The 19,923-nt window shown below is 52.1% G+C and overlaps 2 protein-coding genes across 3 annotated transcripts in view, besides 2 other annotated features; both read left to right on the top strand.

Moving 5' to 3' along the window:
• Window positions 1-15,311, top strand: part of PRPF8 (pre-mRNA processing factor 8) — a 34,239-nt gene extending 18,928 nt beyond the window's left edge. For both annotated transcript variants that reach the window (XM_024450537.2, NM_006445.4), the window contains exons 25-43: window positions 3,787-4,034; window positions 4,150-4,329; window positions 4,534-4,669; window positions 4,778-4,947; window positions 5,113-5,242; window positions 5,362-5,508; window positions 5,939-6,099; window positions 6,392-6,583; window positions 7,177-7,414; window positions 7,559-7,687; window positions 9,179-9,292; window positions 9,375-9,548; window positions 10,397-10,590; window positions 11,924-12,163; window positions 12,257-12,398; window positions 14,152-14,292; window positions 14,387-14,526; window positions 14,630-14,832; window positions 14,984-15,311. In XM_024450537.2, coding sequence (XP_024306305.1) covers window positions 3,787-4,034; window positions 4,150-4,329; window positions 4,534-4,669; window positions 4,778-4,947; window positions 5,113-5,242; window positions 5,362-5,508; window positions 5,939-6,099; window positions 6,392-6,583; window positions 7,177-7,414; window positions 7,559-7,687; window positions 9,179-9,292; window positions 9,375-9,548; window positions 10,397-10,590; window positions 11,924-12,163; window positions 12,257-12,398; window positions 14,152-14,292; window positions 14,387-14,526; window positions 14,630-14,832; window positions 14,984-15,138 — 3,234 coding nt within the window. In that variant the 3' untranslated portion in view covers window positions 15,139-15,311. The remainder of the gene's footprint in view (window positions 1-3,786; window positions 4,035-4,149; window positions 4,330-4,533; window positions 4,670-4,777; window positions 4,948-5,112; window positions 5,243-5,361; window positions 5,509-5,938; window positions 6,100-6,391; window positions 6,584-7,176; window positions 7,415-7,558; window positions 7,688-9,178; window positions 9,293-9,374; window positions 9,549-10,396; window positions 10,591-11,923; window positions 12,164-12,256; window positions 12,399-14,151; window positions 14,293-14,386; window positions 14,527-14,629; window positions 14,833-14,983) is intronic.
• Window positions 14,327-14,837: an enhancer, noted in NCBI's record as "H3K4me1 hESC enhancer chr17:1554397-1554907 (GRCh37/hg19 assembly coordinates)". NCBI's record gives its function as "activates a minimal SCP1, AML or CMV promoter by ChIP-STARR-seq in naive H9 embryonic stem cells {active_cell/tissue: H9 hESC(naive)}" and the evidence as "EXISTENCE:reporter gene assay evidence [ECO:0000049][PMID:30033119]".
• Window positions 16,074-19,790, top strand: RILP (Rab interacting lysosomal protein). Its single transcript, NM_031430.3, has 8 exons — window positions 16,074-16,363; window positions 16,435-16,528; window positions 16,634-16,740; window positions 16,896-17,141; window positions 17,445-17,590; window positions 17,983-18,105; window positions 18,951-19,034; window positions 19,321-19,790. Exons 1-8 carry the CDS (start codon window positions 16,136-16,138, stop codon window positions 19,496-19,498), a joined length of 1,206 nt encoding a protein of 401 aa, NP_113618.2. The 5' UTR covers window positions 16,074-16,135; the 3' UTR covers window positions 19,499-19,790.
• Window positions 16,471-16,765: a silencer, noted in NCBI's record as "tiled region #224; HepG2 Repressive DNase unmatched - State 1:Tss, and K562 Repressive non-DNase unmatched - State 1:Tss". NCBI's record gives its function as "represses a minimal TATA promoter and a strong SV40 promoter by Sharpr-MPRA in HepG2 and K562 cells {active_cell/tissue: HepG2 | K562}" and the evidence as "EXISTENCE:reporter gene assay evidence [ECO:0000049][PMID:27701403]".

Here is a 19,923-nt window from a genome sequence, read left to right as displayed (position 1 = left end):
ATCAGCTTGCCTCGGCCTCCCAAAGTGTTGGGATTATAGGTGTGAGCCACCGCACCTGGCCTGGACCTTTCTCTTTTTCTTTTTTTTTTTTTTTGAGATGGAGTCTCACTCTCTCACCCAGGCTGGAGTGCAGTGGCGCGATCTCAGCTCACTGCAACCTCCGCCCTCTGAGTTCAAGCGATTCTCCTGCCTCAGTCTCCCGAGTAGCTAGGATTACAGATGCCTGCCACCGCACCCGGCTAATTTTTTTGTGTGTTTTTAGTAGAGACAGGGTTTCACCATCTTGGCCAGGCTGGTCTTGAACTCTTGACCTCGTGATCCACCTGCCTCGTCCTCCCAAAGTGCTGGGATTACAGGCGTGAGCCACCGTGCCCAGCTGACCTTTCTCGTTTTTTTTTGTTTGAGACGGAGTCTTGCTCTGTCGCCCAGGCTGGAGTGCAGTGGCGCAATCTTGGCTCACTGCAACTTCCGCCTCCTGGGTTTGTGTCATTCTCCTGCCTCAGCCTCCTGAGTAGCTGGGACTATAGTCGCCTGCCACCATGCTCAGCTAATTTTTTGTATTTGTAGTAGAGACGGGTTTCACCGTGTTAGCTGGGATGGTCTTGATCTCCTGACCTCGTGATCCACCCACCTCAGCCTCCCAAAGTGCTGGGATTACAGGGGTGAGCCACCGTGCCTGGCCAACCTTTCTCTTTTTCTAATAGTATTATTCACTTCTGTAAATTTTCCTCTCAGCATTGCTTTAGCTGCATTCCTCCCTTTTTTTTTTTTTTTTTTTTTGAGGCAGAGTCTCACATTTTCGCCCGGGCTAGAGTGCAGTGGCACGATCTCGGCTCACTGCAACCTCCGCCTACCCTGTTCAAGCGATTCTCCTGCCTCAGCCTCCCAAGTAGCTGGGATTACAGGTGCCCGCCACCACACCCAGCTAATTTTTTTTTGTATTTTTAGTAGAGACAGGTTTTTACCATGTTGGCCAGGCTGGTCTTGAACTCGTGACCTCGTGATTCACCCGCCTTGGCTTCCCAAAGTGCTGGGCTTACAGATATGAGCCATCGTGCCCGGCCCCATTCCTCACATTTTAATATGTTGTGTTTTCATTTTTATTTAGTTAAAAGTATATTCTAATTTCCCTTATGAGTTCATATTTCACCTTAGGTTGTTTCAAATTATGCTGTTTACATATTTGGGGGTTTCCCTTATTAGTTTCTGCTTTGATTCCATTATGATTAGGAAACATGTTGTATATGATCTTAGTTTTAAAAAATGTATCAAGATTTTTTTTTTAATAATTAATTCATTTAGAGGTGGGATCTCACTCTTGCCTAGGTTGGACCCAAACTCCTGGGCGCAAGCGATCCTCCTGCCTCAGCCTTCCAAAGAGTTGGGATTACGGGCATGAGCTACTGCACCTGGCTGAGGCTGACTTTTTGATGTCCTAGCGTACAGTCTCTCTTGGTGCCTGTCCTATGTGTGCTGGAAAATATCTGTTAATCTGTATTCTGCTATTGTTAGGTTGAGTGTTTTACAAACATTAGGTCCAGTCAGTTGGTTACATTGCTTAAGTCTTCTATATCCTTAGTGATATTTTTTGTATACTTCTATCGATTACTGAGGAGTATTAGAAATCTCTAGTAATCCCAGCAGTTTGGGAGGCTGAGGCTGGTGGATTGCTTGAGCACAGGAGTTCGAGACCAGCCTGGGCAACATAGCGAAACCCCATTTCTACAAAAAAAATACAAAAATTAGCTGGGTGTGGTGGTACACGCCTGTAGTCCCAGGTGCTTGGGAGGCTGAGGCGGGAGAGTCTCCTGAGCCTGGGAGGTGGAGGCTGCAATGAGTGGAGATGGTGCCATTGCACTCTAGCCTGGGCAACAGAGCAAGACCCTGTCTTGCTTGAGAGAAAGATCCAACTACAGCTGTGAGTTTATTGTCTTTCAGGTCCATCATTTTTGAAATTCTGTTATTAGTTACATAATGTATTTAGGATTATTAGGTCTTCTGAACGAGTTGACTACTTTATCGTATCAAATATCCCTCTGTATTCCTGATAACATTCCATGGTCTGAAGTCTTTGTCTTAATCAGTAGTGCCACTCCAGCTTTGTTTTGTGTTTGCATGGGTGTATTTTTCCATCTTTTTACTGTTAATCTGTGTCTTTGTAACTAAAGTTTATTTCCTATAGACAGCATATAGTTGGCTCTTTTTTTTTTTTTTTTTTTTTTTTTTTTTGAGATGGAGTCTCTTCCTTGGTTGCCCAGGCTGGAGTGCAGTGGCATGATCTTGGCTCAGTGCAACCTCTGCCTCCCGAGTTCAAGCGATTCTTCTACCTCAGCCTCCCAAGAAACTGAGACTACAGGCGCGTGCCACCACGCTCAGCTAATTTTTGTATTTTTAGTAGAGACGGGGGGTCTCACCATGCTGTCCAGGCTGGTTTCGAACTCCTGACCCCGAGGCCCGCCTCAGCCTCCCAGAGTGCTGGGATTACAGGTGTGAGCCACCATGCCCGGCCTTTTTATTTAAATCCAATTTGACAATGTTTGCCTTACAAATGGTCTAAATACCTCAATTAAGGTTAATGTAACTATCAATGTGGCAATGTAGCTCAGTTTAAATCTACCGTCTTACTCTTTTTTTTTTAAATTATTTTTTCTGCTTTTCTCTTGTCCTGCCTTCTTCTGAATTTAGTTGTTTTGTGACTTTATCTCCACTTTTCACTTATTTGGCTACATGGTTTTTTTCTTATTGTTTGCTCTAAGGTTTACAGTATATACATAGCTCACTTACTGTGATCTACTTTGACCATTAGTCTACTACGGATCACTTCACATATAGTACAAGAACCTTAGAATAATACACTTTAAGTTCCACTCCCACTCTTAGTAGTATTTTTGTCATAACATTTTAATTGTACATGTATTATAAGTGCTATAATACTTTGTTACTCTTTTTGCTTTGAACAGCCTTTATCTTTTGTAGAAATTGCAAAATGAGAAAAAATATTTTTTTGCATTTTACCCACATACTTACCATTTCTGGTGTTCTTCACTAGTTTGTATAGCTCCATCTGGTGTGCTTTTTTTTTTCTTTTTCTTTTCTTTTTTTTTTTTTTGAGACACAGTCTTGCTCTGTCTCCCAGGCTGGAGTGCAGTGGTGCGATCTCAGCTCACTGCAACCTCTGCCTCCTGGGTTCAATTTCTGTATTTTTAGTAGAGACGGTTTCATGTTGGCCAGGCTGGTCTTGAACTCCTGACCTCAGGTGATCCACCCACCTCGGCCTCCCAAAGTGCTGGCATGACAGGCGTGAGCCACCACACCTGGCCCAGGGGAACCATTTTTTTTTTTTTTTCCCCTGAGATGGAGTCTCGCTGTGTTGCCCAGGCTGGAATGCAGTGGCACAATCTCAGCTCACTGCAACCTCCACCTCCCAGGTTCAAGCGATTCTCTTGCCTCAGCCTTCTGAGTAGCTGGGATTACAGGCGTCTGCCACCACACCCGGCTAATTCTTGTATTTTTAGTAGAAACAGGGTTTTGCCATGTTGGCCAGGCTGGTCTCCAACTCCCGGGCTCAAGCAGTCCTCCCACCTTGGCCTCCCAAAGTGCTGGGATTATAGGCATGAGCCATCGCGCCCAGCCTCATTGTGTTTTGCTTTCTATTTCCCTAGTGACTAATGATGTTGAACTCAAATCTTTCTTTAGTAGTAGGGATAAAACTAACTGCATCAAGTAGTCTCCACCCTCCCCGCCCCTGGCTCATCTGTAATTTACTTTTTTTTCTACTACCTTTAGATTGTGAATAAGTGGAATACAGCTCTCATTGGCCTTATGACATACTTTCGGGAGGCTGTGGTGAACACCCAAGAGCTCTTGGACTTACTGGTGAAGTGTGAGAACAAAATCCAGACACGTATCAAGATTGGACTCAACTCCAAGATGCCAAGTCGGTTCCCCCCGGTTGTGTTCTACACCCCTAAGGAGTTGGGTGGACTCGGCATGCTCTCAATGGGCCATGTGCTCATCCCCCAATCCGACCTCAGGTACAGCCTGGTTCAACGTATTTCTAAACCCTATTGCTCAGGCCCTAAGGGAAGTGGGTATTTCTTTAGTTTTAGGCTTTATTTTTTCTGTAATCTTGGTTGTACACCCAAACAGGTGGTCCAAACAGACAGATGTAGGTATCACACACTTTCGTTCAGGAATGAGCCATGAAGAAGACCAGCTCATTCCCAACTTGTACCGCTACATACAGCCATGGGAGAGCGAGTTCATTGATTCTCAGCGGGTCTGGGCTGAGTACGCACTCAAGAGGCAAGAGGCCATTGCTCAGAACAGGTGGGCACCTAGGAGGGCATGCCAACCCTGGGGCAGGGGCAGTGGTGGCCTTTGAACCGTGTGGAGTTCAGGGTCAGAGCATGCCATGGTTGTATGGAGGTGAGAAGGCTGGTTCTACTGACCCTAATTATTTTTGGCCAGGAAGGAGTGCTGAGCTCCTCATATGAGATCACGTTTTGACTTGAATCTTTCTTTTTTTGGAAGACGCCTGACTTTAGAAGACCTAGAAGATTCATGGGATCGTGGCATTCCTCGAATCAATACCCTCTTCCAGAAGGACCGGCACACACTGGCTTATGATAAGGGCTGGCGTGTCAGAACTGACTTTAAGCAGTATCAGGTATGTAGAGGGAGCAGATTTTCCCTGAGTCAGGAAAATCCATGGCTATCCCCGAAACTTGGGGCAATAGGCACCCAGAAGCTTGACCGTGCCTGCCTTGCCATCTAGGTTTTGAAGCAGAATCCGTTCTGGTGGACACACCAGCGGCATGATGGGAAGCTCTGGAACCTGAACAACTACCGTACAGACATGATCCAGGCCCTGGGCGGTGTGGAAGGCATTCTGGAACACACACTCTTTAAGGGCACTTACTTCCCTACCTGGGAGGGGCTTTTCTGGTGAGGATTCTCCTCTCTTAGAGGGACCTGTCACAACCCTTTGAGCTCATCTCTTGTATGCCTCTGTGATTTCCTGTGGTGTTTCCCAGACAGCCACCTCCAGGAGGTTAGCAGTGTGCTGGGAAATGGCAGGATATCACCTCACCTGCTTCTCTTGCTCCCCAGGGAGAAGGCCAGTGGCTTTGAGGAATCTATGAAGTGGAAGAAGCTAACTAATGCTCAGCGATCAGGACTGAACCAGATTCCCAATCGTAGATTCACCCTCTGGTGGTCCCCGACCATTAATCGAGCCAATGTGAGTGTGATTGACACTGGAGAGGGGAAGCTAAAGACAGTTGCTGCTTCTTGCCTTGGTTATGTCGTGAGCGCCCGAGTCTCTTGATCTCTAATGTCACATTGTCGTTTTCCTGGCAGGTATATGTAGGCTTTCAGGTGCAGCTAGACCTGACGGGTATCTTCATGCACGGCAAGATCCCCACGCTGAAGATCTCTCTCATCCAGATCTTCCGAGCTCACTTGTGGCAGAAGATCCATGAGAGCATTGTTATGGACTTATGTCAGGTGGGCTGGAATCGAGGGGAGAGGGTACTGTAGAGAGTCAGCTCAGGTGGAATTGAGGGGAGAGGGTACTGTACAGAGTCAGCTCAGGTGGAATCGAGGGGAGAGGGTACTGTACAGAGTCAGCTCAGGTGGAATCGTGGGGAGAGGGTACTGTAGAGAGTCAGCTCAGGTGGAATCGCAGGGAGAGGGTGCTGTACAGAGTCAGCTTAGGTGGAATCGCGGGGAGAGGGTGCTGTACAGAGTCAGCTCAGGTGGAATCGCGGGGAGAGCGTGCTGTACAGAGTCAGCTCAGCTTGCTCTTTTGCATATGGGAAATCCACCCTGGAAGCTCTGAGGATGAGACTCCTATTGCCTCATTATCTTATTGTACAAACTCTGATTTTAATTGGGCTTCCTTAACAAGTCTTAATCTCTCCATGTTTTCCTTCAGGTGTTTGACCAGGAACTTGATGCACTGGAAATTGAGACAGTACAAAAGGAGACAATCCATCCCCGAAAGTCATATAAGATGAACTCTTCCTGTGCAGATATCCTGCTCTTTGCCTCCTATAAGTGGAATGTCTCCCGGCCCTCATTGCTGGCTGACTCCAAGTAAGTGCCTCAGGACCCAGCCCTAGGCAGCCAGGACACTTTCGTTTTCCTGTTCTTCTAGCCCTGCAACTTTAGGAATTGTCCTGTCTGCCTTTGTTTCAAACTTGGAGCCAGTGCTACGCTTGGAGCCTGTCAACACCCTTAGTCAGATCTGCTGATTCTCTGGGGTCCTGCTGACCTGGAACAAGTTGGTGGAGTGGGTGGGATGGTTTTGGGATTTAAGTGGTTCTGGTTCTGGGGACATTGGTTATGCCCATGGTTTCTTAGAAGCTTGAACCCTCTTCATCCTCAGGGATGTGATGGACAGCACCACCACCCAGAAATACTGGATTGACATCCAGTTGCGCTGGGGGGACTATGATTCCCACGACATTGAGCGCTACGCCCGGGCCAAGTTCCTGGACTACACCACCGACAACATGAGTATCTACCCTTCGCCCACAGGTGTACTCATCGCCATTGACCTGGCCTATAACTTGCACAGGTGAGTTGAGGCTCAGGACCATGTATTTTCAGGCCAGGCGCAGTGGCTCACACCTGTAATCCCAGCACTTTGGGAGGCCGCGGTGGGCAGATTGTCTGAGCTCAGGAGTTTGAGACCAGTCTGGGCAACATGGTGAAACCCTGTCTCTACCAAAATACAAAAAATTAGCTGGGCGTGGTGGTCCACGCCTGTAGTCCCAGCTACTCAGAAGGTTGAGGTGGGAGAATTACTTGAACCCGGGAGGCGGAGCTTGCAGTGAACCGAGATTGCGCCACTGCACTCCAGCCTGGGCGACAGAGTGAGACTCCATCTCAAAGAAAAATAATAATAATAATAAATAAATAAATAATCCGTGTATTTTCCATTAGCTCCATACTTTAACGTAGTCATACTTTTTTACTTTACCTAAGTGAGAGGAAGTGGCCCATTCCTCCTATGGGTCACTGATTCTCTTCTCCAGCCTGTATGTACACATGAGCAGAGTGTTGTCAGCCTGGCGAACAGTCTTTCTTCCTCTGTAGAGTTGGCAGCTTGTCTTGTTTCTGGGGCTGTCATTCTCGTCTTAACTTTTCTTGACCCTTTTATCCTCACAGTGCCTATGGAAACTGGTTCCCAGGCAGCAAGCCTCTCATACAACAGGCCATGGCCAAGATCATGAAGGCAAACCCTGCCCTGTATGTGTTACGTGAACGGATCCGCAAGGGGCTACAGCTCTATTCATCTGAACCCACTGAGCCTTATTTGTCTTCTCAGAACTATGGTGAGCTCTTCTCCAACCAGATTATCTGGTTTGTGGATGACACCAACGTCTACAGAGTGACTATTCACAAGGTGAGTGTTAGCAGCAGTGTATAGGTGCGGGACTCTGTACATGGCTGTGGGAGAGTAATGGGCTAAGTGTGTACACATGCTGGGAAGAAGGCAGGATGGGGATGTGTTGTGTAGGCCATGCTAACGAATGCCGTCCTCCTCTAGACCTTTGAAGGGAACTTGACAACCAAGCCCATCAACGGAGCCATCTTCATCTTCAACCCACGCACAGGGCAGCTGTTCCTCAAGATAATCCACACGTCCGTGTGGGCGGGACAGAAGCGTTTGGGGCAGGTGAGCAGGTTTAAAGATGAAGAGGCTGTAGAACCATGTTGCCTCTTATTCTTGGGGTGGACTTGGTAATATTTACTGGTTTATTAGATGAAAGGCTGAGAACATCTCATTTGAACTTATCCCCAAAATACCTTGGGAAGTATTCTGTGGGAGGTCCAAGAGTGTATGAGGTGCTTCGTTCCCTTCCAGCTGGTCTGTTTCCTGAATTTCTAACCTTGAACAGGGCTATCAAAAATCATTTTTCCAAAGGCAACGCATACTCTTTTTTTTTTTTTTTTTTTTTAGCCGGAGTCTCGCTGTGTGGCCCAGGCTGGAGCACAGTGGCTCAATCTCGGTTCACTGCAAGCTCCGCCTCCCGGGTTCACGCCATTCTCCTGCCTTAGCCTCCCGAGTAGCTGGGACTACAGGCGCCCGCCACCACGCCTGGCTAATTTTTTTTGTATTTTTTAGTAGAGACAGGGTTTCAACGTGTTAGCCAGGATGGTCTCGATCTCCTGACTTTGTGATCTGCCTGCCTCTGCCTCTGCCTCCCAAAGTGCTCGGATTACAGGTGTGAGCCACTGCTCCTGGCCAGCAATGCATATTCTCTTTTTTTTTTTTTTTTTTTGAGACGGAGTCTTGCTCTGTTGCCCAGGCTGGAATGCAGTGGCCTGATTTCAGCTCACTGCAAGCTCCGCCTCCCAGGTTCACGCCATTCTCCTGCCTCAGCCTCCCGAGTAGCTGGGACTACAGGTGCCCGCCACCACGCCCGGCTAAATTTTTTGTATTTTTAGTAGAGACGGGGTTTCACCATGTTGGCCAGGATGGTCTCAATCTCCTGACCTCGTGATCCGCCCGCCTTGGCCTCTCAAAGTGCTGGGATTACAGGCTTGAGCCACCGTGCCCGGCCCAGCAACGCATATTCTTGAAACATCCACTTTGACCAAATCTCTTCTCTACCTCACAACTCTTGCTGAATTAACTCTTCTTTAGCTTCCTAGACGTTCAACATCTGGCTGGGCTGTATCTGTCCAGCCAGTTTCTCTTCCTTTACATTTATAGCATGTTTCATCTTACATTCAGTCCAGGATCTTAGTAGCCCAAACCCCTGATGCTCATCTCCAAATCTGTGTTTTGCTTGTATTTTTCTTTCTAGAATGAACTCCCCTCTTTGCTCTGTTAATCACAGTCCCTCCTTAAGACACGTTTTTTTGTGCAGCTTTTTTCTGATCCTAGTAGCCTTAATTTCTTTTGTTCCTGAACTCTGTAAAACAGTGTATAGTTTAGCACATACTCATGTGTCAGCTTGTGGTATTGTCTTGTTGAAAGGGGCTGTCAGCCTGGTCATTGGACACGGCCATTTGATACTCTTTGTACCTTCTAAGTGCCTAACATTTAACATCAGTGTTCAATAGAAACGTAGTTGGATTATTTCAAAACTAGGATATTCTGTTCTAGTTGATCTGGGAGGGTAGAGACTAAATTTCCATTTTCTTCTCTCTTGCTTTTAAGTTGGCTAAGTGGAAGACAGCTGAGGAGGTGGCCGCCCTGATCCGATCTCTGCCTGTGGAGGAGCAGCCCAAGCAGATCATTGTCACCAGGAAGGGCATGCTGGACCCACTGGAGGTAAGAGGGTGGGGTGGGGTAGGAGAAAAGAGACCTTGAGACCTTCAGGCTGTTTCTCATCTTGGACTTGATCTTGTCTTAGGTGCACTTACTGGACTTCCCCAATATTGTCATCAAAGGATCGGAGCTCCAACTCCCTTTCCAGGCGTGTCTCAAGGTGGAAAAATTCGGGGATCTCATCCTTAAAGCCACTGAGCCCCAGATGGTTCTCTTCAACCTCTATGACGACTGGCTCAAGACTATTTCATCTTACACGGTATGAACCTCGGGAAGAGAAGATCGCTGGAGGAGGAGCGGGTTTAGGGTTAGGAGAAGATCCTGTGTCAGGTTTTTGCCATTTTCACATTTTTAGCCTATAGATTGGGTGGGAACTCTGTTGACTTTCATGAGAGTTTAAGACCTTAAAGTTAAAAATCAACTCTTGGGGCCGGGCGTGGTGGCTCACGCCCGTAATCCCAGCACTTTGGGAGGCTGAGTTGGGTGAATCACCTGAGGTCAGGAGTTTGAGATCAGGCTGGCCAACATGACGAGACCCCATCTCTACTAAAAATACAACAAAATTAGCCGAGTGTGCTGGGATGCACCTGTAGTCCCAGCTACTCGGGAGGCTGAGGCACCAGAATCACTGGAACCCAGGAGGCAGAGGTTGCAGTGAGCCGAGATGGCACCATTGCACTCCAGCCTGGGCGACAGAGTAAGACTGTCTAAAAAAAAAAAAAAAAAGGCCGGGCGCAGTGGCTCACGCCTGTAATCCCAGCACTTTGGGAGGCCGAGGCGGCGGATCACGAGGTCAGGAGATTGAGACCATCCTGGCTAACACAGTGAAACCCCATCTCTACTAAAAATACAAAAAATTAGCCGGGCGTGGTGGCAGGTGCCTGTCATCCCAGCTATTCGGGAGGCTGAGGCAGGAGAATGGTATGAACCTGGGAGGCGGAGCTTGCAGTGAGCCGAGATCATGCCACTGCACTCCAGCCTGGGCGACAGAGCAAGACTCTGTCTCAAAAGAAAAAAAAAAAATTCTTGGGTTTCATGAAAGGTTAGGATTAAAGTGGGAGAGCCTCAAGCAGCTGACCTACCCCACTCTTCCAAATCTTTTCCCAGGCCTTCTCCCGTCTCATCCTGATTCTGCGTGCCCTACATGTGAACAACGATCGGGCAAAAGTGATCCTGAAGCCAGACAAGACTACTATTACAGAACCACACCACATCTGGCCCACTCTGACTGACGAAGAATGGATCAAGGTCGAGGTGCAGCTCAAGGATCTGATCTTGGCTGACTACGGCAAGAAAAACAAGTGAGCAGTGCTGGTGGGGACACAGACAGGAGGTCTATATACGGTTTTCTGGGGTTTTTTGGAAGCACTTAGGCTTAGAAGTTTCTCAAGAAGGCCAGGCGCGGTGGCTCATGCCTGTAATCCCAGCACTTTGGGAGGCCAAGGTGGGTAGATCATTTGAGGTCAGGAGTTTGAAACCATCCTGGCCAACGTGGTGAAACTCCGTCTCTACTAAAAATACAAAAGTTAGCCGGGTGCGATGGCGCCTACCTGTAATCCCAGCTACTCGGGAGGCTGAGGCAGGAGAATTGCTTGAACCTGGGGGCAGAGGTTGCAGTGAGCCGAGATCATGCCACTGCACTCCAGCCTGGGCGACAAGAGTGAGACTGTCTCCAAAAAAAAAAAAAAAAAAGACGTTTCTCAAGAAATTATCTTGTCTTAGCCAGGCTTGAGTGCTCATGCTAGTAATACCAGCACTTTGGGAGGCCAAGGTGGGAGGATTGCATGAGCCAGGAGTTGAAACCAGCCTGATCAACAAGAGACTGACGCCATCTCTACCAAAAAAAAAAAATTTAAAACAGGTGTGGTGGTACACGCTTGTAGTCCCAGCTTCTTGGAGGCTGAGGCAGGAGGCTTGCTTGAGCCCGGGGGTTTGAGGCTGCAGTGAGCCATGATGATGCCACTGTACTCCAGCCTGGGTAACAGAGCGAGACTCTTGTCTTGAAAACAAGGAAAGAAATTATCTTACAGAGTCTCGAGGAAGAGAGATACAGCAGTGTCTTCGAATAGTATGGGAAGCATCCCTGTTTTAGGGCTTCAGTCTGACTCTTGGCCATTGTTTCTCACTGTTGCCATTTCAAACAGGGCATTTCTTTACTGTCCATACATGGGAAGAATTTTGAACATCCGAGACCCTAAGTATCCGAGACTGCTGCCAACACACACACACACCTTCCTCCCCTCGTCTCCCTCCCTGTCATCGTGGCAACCAAAATTATCCATAGGGTGACGGACAATACCACCTCTGATTAAGAACCAGTATTCTAGGGTTTCTGGGGTTTCCATTTCTGAGAACAGTTCCATGCCAGAGCATTGTTTTGGTCAAGGAAGCGTAGGGTTTATGGATGCTAAACAGTGGGAAGGTGCACACGCAGTGTGCTGTCCCGCTTGGATCTGACGAATCTTGGAAGTGTTAGTGCACCTCCGTTTCACACTTCCTGTAGAAGCAGCTCTTGTGGATTGTCTGGGGCGTGAGTATAGGCTGTCCTGTCCTACCAAGTTACACCCTTTCCATTGAGGCAGAAGTGACCAAGGGGAAGGGATCCTTGTAATATAACCCACACCATCCCCACAGTGTGAACGTGGCATCACTGACACAATCAGAAATTCGAGACATCATCCTGGGTATGGAGATCTCGGCACCGTCACAGCAGCGGCAGCAGATCGCTGAGATCGAGAAGCAGACCAAGGAACAATCGCAGCTGACGGCAACACAGACTCGCACTGTCAACAAGCATGGCGATGAGATCATCACCTCCACCACCAGCAACTATGAGACCCAGACTTTCTCATCCAAGACTGAGTGGAGGGTCAGGTACTGTCGGGCAAGAGGGTGGGGATGGAAAGGCCGGCTGCACTACCTAAGGTGCTGGGCTGAGCGATGCTGACACTCCCTGCCTGTTTTTAGGGCCATCTCTGCTGCCAACCTGCACCTAAGGACCAATCACATCTATGTTTCATCTGACGACATCAAGGAGACTGGCTACACCTACATCCTTCCCAAGAATGTGCTTAAGAAGTTCATCTGCATATCTGACCTTCGGGCCCAAGTGAGTAAGTGGACTCAGCTAGGCCACAGTGTGTGCCCAACTCATTTTGTGCCTAAAACTCAGACCTGAGATTGTCTGGAACTTGAGATGCTGGTTTCAAGATTCATGGATGAGTAATTATACAAGGATAGCCAAAACAACGAGGTGGGTTTTGGCCCCATGAGATAGCAAAAGCTGTGGCAGCTGAGAGAAGGTAGTAATTGTAGTATTGGCCTGATAGTATTTGGAAGAGAACAGATATGGTCAGAAACAAATTCCTGACCAGGTGTGCGTGCTGGCTCATGCCTGTAATCCCAACACTCGGCTGGGCACAGTGGCTAATGCCTATAATCCCAGCACTTTGGGAGGCCTAGGTGGGTGGATCACCTGAGGTCAGGGGTTTGAGACCAGCCTGACCAATATGGTGAAACCCTGTCTCTACTAAAAATACAAAAAATTAGCCAGGCATGGTGGCATGCGCCCGTAGTTGCAGCTACTAGGGAGGTTGAGACAGGAGAATTGCTTGAACCCGGGAGGTGAGGTGGAGCTTGCAGTGAGCCAAGATTGCATCACTGCACTCCAGCCTGGGCAACAGAGCAAGACCCCGTCTAAAAAAACAAAACCAAAAAAAACGTGGCTGTAGTCCCAGCTACTCAGGAGGATGAGGTTGCTTGAACGCAAGCAGTGAGCTTTGATGACCCCACTGCACTCCAGGCTGGGCACAGTGGCTCATGACTGTAATCCCAGCACTGTGGGAGGCCGAGGTGGGCAGATCTTTTGAGCCCAGGAGTTCGAGACCAGCCTGGGCAACATGACGAAATGGAGTCTCTACAAAAAAAAAAAAAAAAAACTAGCCAGGCATGGTGGCATACACCTGTAATCTCAGCTACTCAGGAGGCTGAGGTGGGAGGATCACCTGATCCTGGAGGGTGGTGAGTGTAGTGAGCTGAGATCATGTCACTGCCTGCTAGCCTGGGTGACAGAGTGATACCCTGCTTCAAAAAAGAGAAAAGATGCATAACTTTACTAGTGTATCAGGGATATTATAGTTTATAAAACATCATTTTGGGCCAAGGTGGGTGAATCACTTGAGGTCAGGAGTTCAAGACCAGCTTGGCCAACGTGGCGAAACCCCGTCTCTCTTAAATATATGAAAATTAGCGGGGCATGGTGGCATGTGCCTGTAGTCCCAGCTACTCAGGAAGCTGAGGCAGGAGAATTGCTTGAACCCAGGAGGCGGAGGTCGCAGTGAGCTGAGATCACACCACTGCACTCCAGCCTTGCTGACAGAGTGAGACTCCATCTCAAACCCACTATTTAGTGGCTGTCAGGTTGGCAAATTTGAAAAGATTGTTAATATCCTGTGTGGGTGAGTTTATAGTAAACAGATCCTCTTTCTTTCTTGGTGATAATGTAAAACTTAAAATAGCACCAAGTGCTGGTTTTCCAGATGTTTTCAGCTTGTGAAAATACACTGAGCTGCATGTGTGCTCATTTGCTTGTGAATACTATGCTTAATAATCAGCTGGGGAGCTTGTGAGCAGTGCAGATTCCTGGACCCCACTCAGGAGATTCTGATGTGGTAAGTCCGCGATGAGGTCCATGTCTAACATTTTGAACAAGCACCCCAGCTGATTCTGATACAGGGGGTTCTGATCACGTTTTAAGAAACTCTGTCCTCGTTCTTGGGGGAAGGAAGGAAACAGAGGGCTGGCAGCTCCAACTCTGACCTGGTACTAAGAAGAGTTTTGGTTCCTGACCCCTTTGTCTCCAGATTGCAGGATACCTATATGGGGTGAGCCCACCAGATAACCCCCAGGTGAAGGAGATCCGCTGCATTGTGATGGTGCCGCAGTGGGGCACTCACCAGACCGTGCACCTGCCTGGCCAGCTGCCCCAGCATGAGTACCTCAAGGTAATGGGGAGTGATGGAGCCTGGGAGTGTGGAAAAGCTGGTGCGATTCCTGTCTGTGGATGGGATTCAGCTCTGTACTCCTCTTTACCTATAGGAGATGGAACCCTTAGGTTGGATCCACACTCAGCCCAATGAGTCCCCGCAGTTATCACCCCAGGATGTCACCACCCATGCCAAGATCATGGCTGACAACCCATCTTGGGATGGCGAGAAGACCATTATCATCACATGCAGGTGGGCCTGGGCTCCTTGGGAGGAAGTATGGTGGGGCAGGGATTGCAGGCCAGGGCCCAGAACAGTGGCCTGAGCTGTTACTCTGTCCTCGTTCCTCCCCCAGCTTCACGCCAGGCTCCTGTACACTGACGGCCTACAAGCTGACCCCCAGTGGCTACGAATGGGGCCGCCAGAACACAGACAAGGGCAACAACCCCAAGGGCTACCTGCCTTCACACTATGAGAGGGTGCAGATGCTGCTGTCGGACCGTTTCCTTGGCTTCTTCATGGTCCCTGCCCAGTCCTCGTGGAACTACAACTTCATGGGTAAGTGGGAGGAGCCTGGGGATGTGGGGATAGCAGTAGGGATAAGGTGAGGCCATCGCCCTTTGCACTTGGGGCCTGGCTGGCTTGGAGGTGGCGCAGGCTGCATGAGGCAGGAGCCCTGTTAACATTGGCTGTTTCCTTCTCCCCGAAGGTGTTCGGCATGACCCCAACATGAAATATGAGCTACAGCTGGCGAACCCCAAAGAGTTCTACCACGAGGTGCACAGGCCCTCTCACTTCCTCAACTTTGCTCTCCTGCAGGAGGGGGAGGTTTACTCTGCGGATCGGGAGGACCTGTATGCCTGACCGTTTCCCTGCCTCCTGCTTCAGCCTCCCGAGGCCGAAGCCTCAGCCCCTCCAGACAGGCCGCTGACATTCAGCAGTTTGGCCTCTTTCCCTCTGTCTGTGCTTGTGTTGTTGACCTCCTGATGGCTTGTCATCCTGAATAAAATATAATAATAAATTTTGTATAAATAGGAGTTCAGGGGCTGGTTTGTTTTTTTTTTCCCCCCCAAACTCAAATTCTGGATTTAGGTCTAACAGGAGGCTGGACTGGAGCGGTTCACAGCAAGATGCTGGGCTCGGCTGTGAAGGGGGGAGTATGAGGCCCCCTTCCTATTCAGGGCTTTGGGGTAGATAGCCCCTGGACTCAGTGGAGACCTGAGGCAGGGCTGGGCTTTCACACTCCGCTGCCTTGACCACATTTGCTGCTTTTTCCACAAAACTACTTGGAAGCTCTCGCCTCCTTTCCACAGTTTTGGGAGCAGTTGCCCTTTCCCGGGTCTAGGAACTCTGTGGCTTGTGCTGAGCGGCTGCGGTGTCCAGCCCAGCCCTTTAAGCTTTCTGTGTCAGTCCTGGTCAGGAAAACAAGCACACAGGCAGGCAGTTTGTGTACAGCCGGGCGGAGGCCAGAGACCGGCTGCCTACCTGTCACCTCTCGCCTGGAGCGGGCCACTGCCAAGTTGGCCCCATGACTCCAAACGGGCGGAGCCTGGATTGGGCCTGTGGGGAGGGCTCCACTCAAGTGACCACTTGCAGCCCTGAACCTCAGCTCTTGGACGCCTGGCTGGAAGTTGGCTGTCTTGTTTCCTGTGACCTTGGGGGTGGAAAGGACAGAGCCCAGGCGACCTAGGGCACTATCTCCCTACCCCACGCCTTCTCCCTTCCTCGTTCCTCCCTACCCTTATCGCTTCTACCCCGCCCACACCGCCCTAAACGGCTTCCTGGGGCGGAACTGTTTCGCTTTTCCCCGTCCCAGTGGAGGGTGGGGTGGGGGGGTCGCAGCCCTAAGCCTCTGGGAGACATGGAGCCCAGGAGGGCGGCGCCCGGGGTGCCTGGCTGGGGGTCTCGGGAGGCCGCGGGGTCGGCATCGGCCGCGGAGCTTGTGTACCATCTAGCCGGGGCCCTGGGCACTGAGCTGCAGGATCTGGCGCGCCGTTTCGGGCCGGAGGCGGCGGCCGGGCTGGTGCCGCTAGTGGTGCGGGCGCTGGAGCTCTTGGAACAGGCTGCCGTGGGGCCCGCCCCGGACTCGGTGAGTCATGGCCCTCCCTTCGCCACCCACGGGGCCGGCAGGGCCGAAGCCTGAGACCCGGGTCTCCCCAGCTGCAGGTGTCGGCGCAGCCGGCGGAGCAGGAGCTGCGGCGGCTGCGGGAGGAGAACGAGCGCCTCCGCAGGGAGCTGCGCGCGGGGCCACAGGGTAAGCGCAGCCCCGGCCAGGGCAGGGCGGGTGACGACCTGCTCGGGTCCTCCCCTCCCTCCCGCGGGCCGCGCGCCGCCGCCGCTAAGAACGCCCCTTCCTCAGAGGAGCGCGCGCTGCTGCGGCAGCTCAAGGAGGTCACGGACCGACAGCGGGACGAACTCCGGGCGCACAACCGCGACCTGCGGCAGCGCGGCCAGGAGACCGAGGCGGTGAGGGCGGGGCGGGGCTCTGGGGCGGGGCGGGGGCGGAGCGTGGCAGGCGCTGGGCGGGGCTCCGGGGGCGGGGGCGGAGCGAGGCAGGCGCTGGGCGGGGCTCCGGGGGGCCCTCGGTGCCCCGCCCACCCCACCCTTTGCTCCGCTCCCAGTTGCAGGAGCAGCTGCAGCGCCTCCTGCTGGTGAACGCTGAGCTGCGGCACAAGCTGGCGGCCATGCAGACCCAGCTGCGCGCCGCGCAGGACCGCGAGAGGGAGCGCCAGCAGCCTGGCGAAGCCGCGACTCCGCAGGCTAAAGAGCGAGCGCGGGGGCAGGCCGGGCGGCCCGGGCACCAGCACGGACAGGAGCCCGAATGGGCGACCGCCGGCGCAGGCGCCCCAGGGAACCCTGAGGACCCGGTGAGTGCCGTATGAGGGCAAGGACCCAGCCCAGGACGCAGCGTCCAGCCCTCGGTGGGCACTCAAGCAAGGTTTGCATGCTGCACAGCAGGTCGGCCAGGAAGCGGGGAGGTGGCAGACAGATCTGCGCCCCCGGCCGGCCTCGGCCCCCGCTCTCAGCTGGAGCACTGCTCTGTTATCTGTTAGGGCACCCTTGTCCCCCAAGTCTCCCGGCCCGTCACTTCCTCTAGCATTCCCATGATGGCCCTGGGGCGGGGGAACGCCAGCCGAGGCGACCCTCTGACTGTGCCTGTCCTTCCAAAGGCGGAGGCCGCGCAGCAGCTCGGGCGCCCCTCGGAGGCAGGGCAGTGCCGCTTCAGTCGGGAGGAGTTTGAGCAGATCCTTCAGGAGCGGAATGAACTCAAAGCCAAAGTGTTCCTGCTCAAGGAGGAACTGGCCTACTTCCAGCGGTGAGGACGCTGGGAAGCCGGGGGGCCTCCGATCACCCCACCTCATTCTCCAGTCATTGACATGTCCACAGTGACATGTGCCAGGCCTGCGCTGGGAACTGGGAGGACATGAATTGTACAGCCCTTGCCCTCCTGCAATGTCATCCAGACAGGGGAGAGGGACAGTACAAAGGGTTGCAGCTGCAGCAGCCAGGGAATCTCTCCTAGGAGGGGGCCACGGGGCCACCTAATTTAAGGTCTGAGGGTGTCAGCAAGGCAGAGCGCTTCCCGTGTTCAGGGAAGAGCTGCGTGCACAGGTACCAGGAGTGAGGACTGCGGCTGGCATCTCCACTGCTGGCATCCCCATGGCTGGCATCACCAGGGCTTTCTCCCTCCCTGCCCCTTTTCTTTAGGGAGCTGCTCACAGACCACCGGGTCCCCGGCCTTCTGCTCGAGGCCATGAAGGTGGCTGTCCGGAAGCAGCGGAAGAAGATCAAGGCCAAGATGTTAGGGACACCAGAGGAAGCAGAGAGCAGGTAGGTCCCTGCCTGCATTCCCACGGAGCCAGGCCTCCCTCCCTCATTCTGCTGAGCCTGATGACCCAGCCTGGTCACCCTCTGAGCCCATTGTCTCAGACTGAGGCTGTCACCCCAACCCGGTCACCCCTTGAGCCTCCCTAGCCTGGCCGCTTCTAGGGCCTGCTGACCTGCTCTGGCTGTGTCCCATGGCCGCTGTCCAGCCTGCGCCCTTCTCCCTGGATCTCACCACTCCCCTTGCCTTGCCTGCCATCCATTCTGCCTGACAACACTGCCTCTCCACATTCATTCTTCAAGTTCCTGTCTTGGCTGGGTCTGTTTATTCTTACGGGGGTGAAACTGTAGCCGCGGCTGTGTCAGGGCCTGCTGTGTGTCAAGCTATAAAATAAACCCTTGGCAGGGCGCGGTGGCTCACGCCTGTAATCCCAGCACTTTGAGAGGCTAAGGTGGGTAGATCACCTGAGGTCAGGAGTTCGAGACCAGCGTGGCCAACATGGTGAAACTCCGTCTCTACTAAAAATACAAAAATTAGCCGGGCATGGTGGCATGTGCCTATAATCCCAGCTACTCAGGAGGCTGCGGCAGGAGAATCGCTTGAACTTGGGAGGCGGAGGTTGCAGTGAGCTGAGATCGCACCACTGCACTCCAGCCTGGGCGACAGAGTGAGACCCTGTCTCAAAAAAAAAAAAATTAAAAATTAAAGGCTCGACATCCTGCATCTCCCCAGGGTTGCCTTCTCTCCAGCCCCGGGGGCCCTGCAGTCCCTCCATCCCCCCTGCTGGATTCCTGTTGTCCCTCAGGGCCTTGATCAATGGCCCTCACTTCTCCTCTCTCCTCTGTCTCAGTGAGGATGAGGCTGGCCCATGGATCCTGCTCTCCGATGACAAGGGAGACCATCCCCCACCCCCGGAGTCCAAAATACAGAGTTTGTATGTTGGGGAAAGGGGAAAGGCAAGAGTGTGGGGAGGGAGGAAGGGCCCTGGCTGGTCCTTCTCAGGATCCCCTTTCCCGCTTCTCTGCCCGTCACCCTGCTGTGCTTGGCTCTAAGCACACCGTCCCCTCCTGCTTCTCTGGCCCTGGCCCCCATCACCTTCACACTCCCTCAGGCTGCCCTTTCTTCCCCCTCTCCCCTTTTCTCACCATCCCCTGCCCTCACCCATATCCTTGACCTCTCTGGCTTCCTGGCTCAAAGTGCCTCTGGCTGTCTCTCTCCAGCTTTGGCCTATGGTATCGGGGTAAAGCTGAATCCTCTGAGGATGAGACCAGCAGCCCTGCACCCAGCAAGCTAGGGGGAGAAGAGGAGGCCCAACCACAGTCTCCAGCTCCTGATCCGCCCTGTTCTGCCCTCCACGAACACCTTTGTCTGGGGGCCTCAGCCGCCCCAGAGGCCTGACTTAGGGGTCTGGCTGTGGAAGGATGTGTGGCCTCAAATGAGGACAGGGCTCCCGCCTTCACAGCCCTCGCCAGGGGTCTGCCCCAATCCTGGCCTGCATCAGGGCAGGACGGGGTCTCAGCCCGCCTCCCTCTCTACGTCTCTGTACCGAGCCTCTGGGGCCAGATATAAGAGTGCCTCTCTGAGTCTCAGTTTCCCCATCCATGAAATGAGAGCTGACTGCCTAGCTCCCAGGGCTTTGTGCAGACGGCCTGAGCTCATGTAATAAAGAACTGCCCGTAATACACAGAAACTGTTCCTCGCCTGTCTGTCCATGTCTGTGCCACCTCCCAACCCTGCCAGGAGCAGAGGCAGGCTGAGGGGTCCTCGCTGGTCTCCTTGCTCAGTCACTGGGTGGGGTGGCTTCTTGCAGCTCAGGCCTTGCT

The sequence above is a fragment of the Homo sapiens genome, chromosome 17, assembly GCF_000001405.40.
Source record: "Homo sapiens chromosome 17, GRCh38.p14 Primary Assembly".
NCBI lineage: Eukaryota > Metazoa > Chordata > Mammalia > Primates > Hominidae > Homo > Homo sapiens.
The sequence above is the reverse complement of the archived record's forward strand: the minus strand, read 5'-3'. Positions and strand labels throughout refer to the sequence as shown.

What these genes read in the sequence shown, in the direction of transcription:
- RILP (NM_031430.3), top strand. Translation starts at nt 16,136, where the DNA reads ATGGAGCCCAGGAGGGCGGCGCCCGGGGTGCCTGGCTGGGGGTCTCGG. An exon ending in GCTGCGCGCGGGGCCACAGG is followed by an intron (nt 16,529 to 16,633) that starts GTAAGCGCAGCC and finishes CCCCTTCCTCAG; the next exon opens with AGGAGCGCGCGCTGCTGCGG. An exon ending in CCAGAGGAAGCAGAGAGCAG is followed by an intron (nt 18,106 to 18,950) that starts GTAGGTCCCTGC and finishes CCTCTGTCTCAG; the next exon opens with TGAGGATGAGGCTGGCCCAT.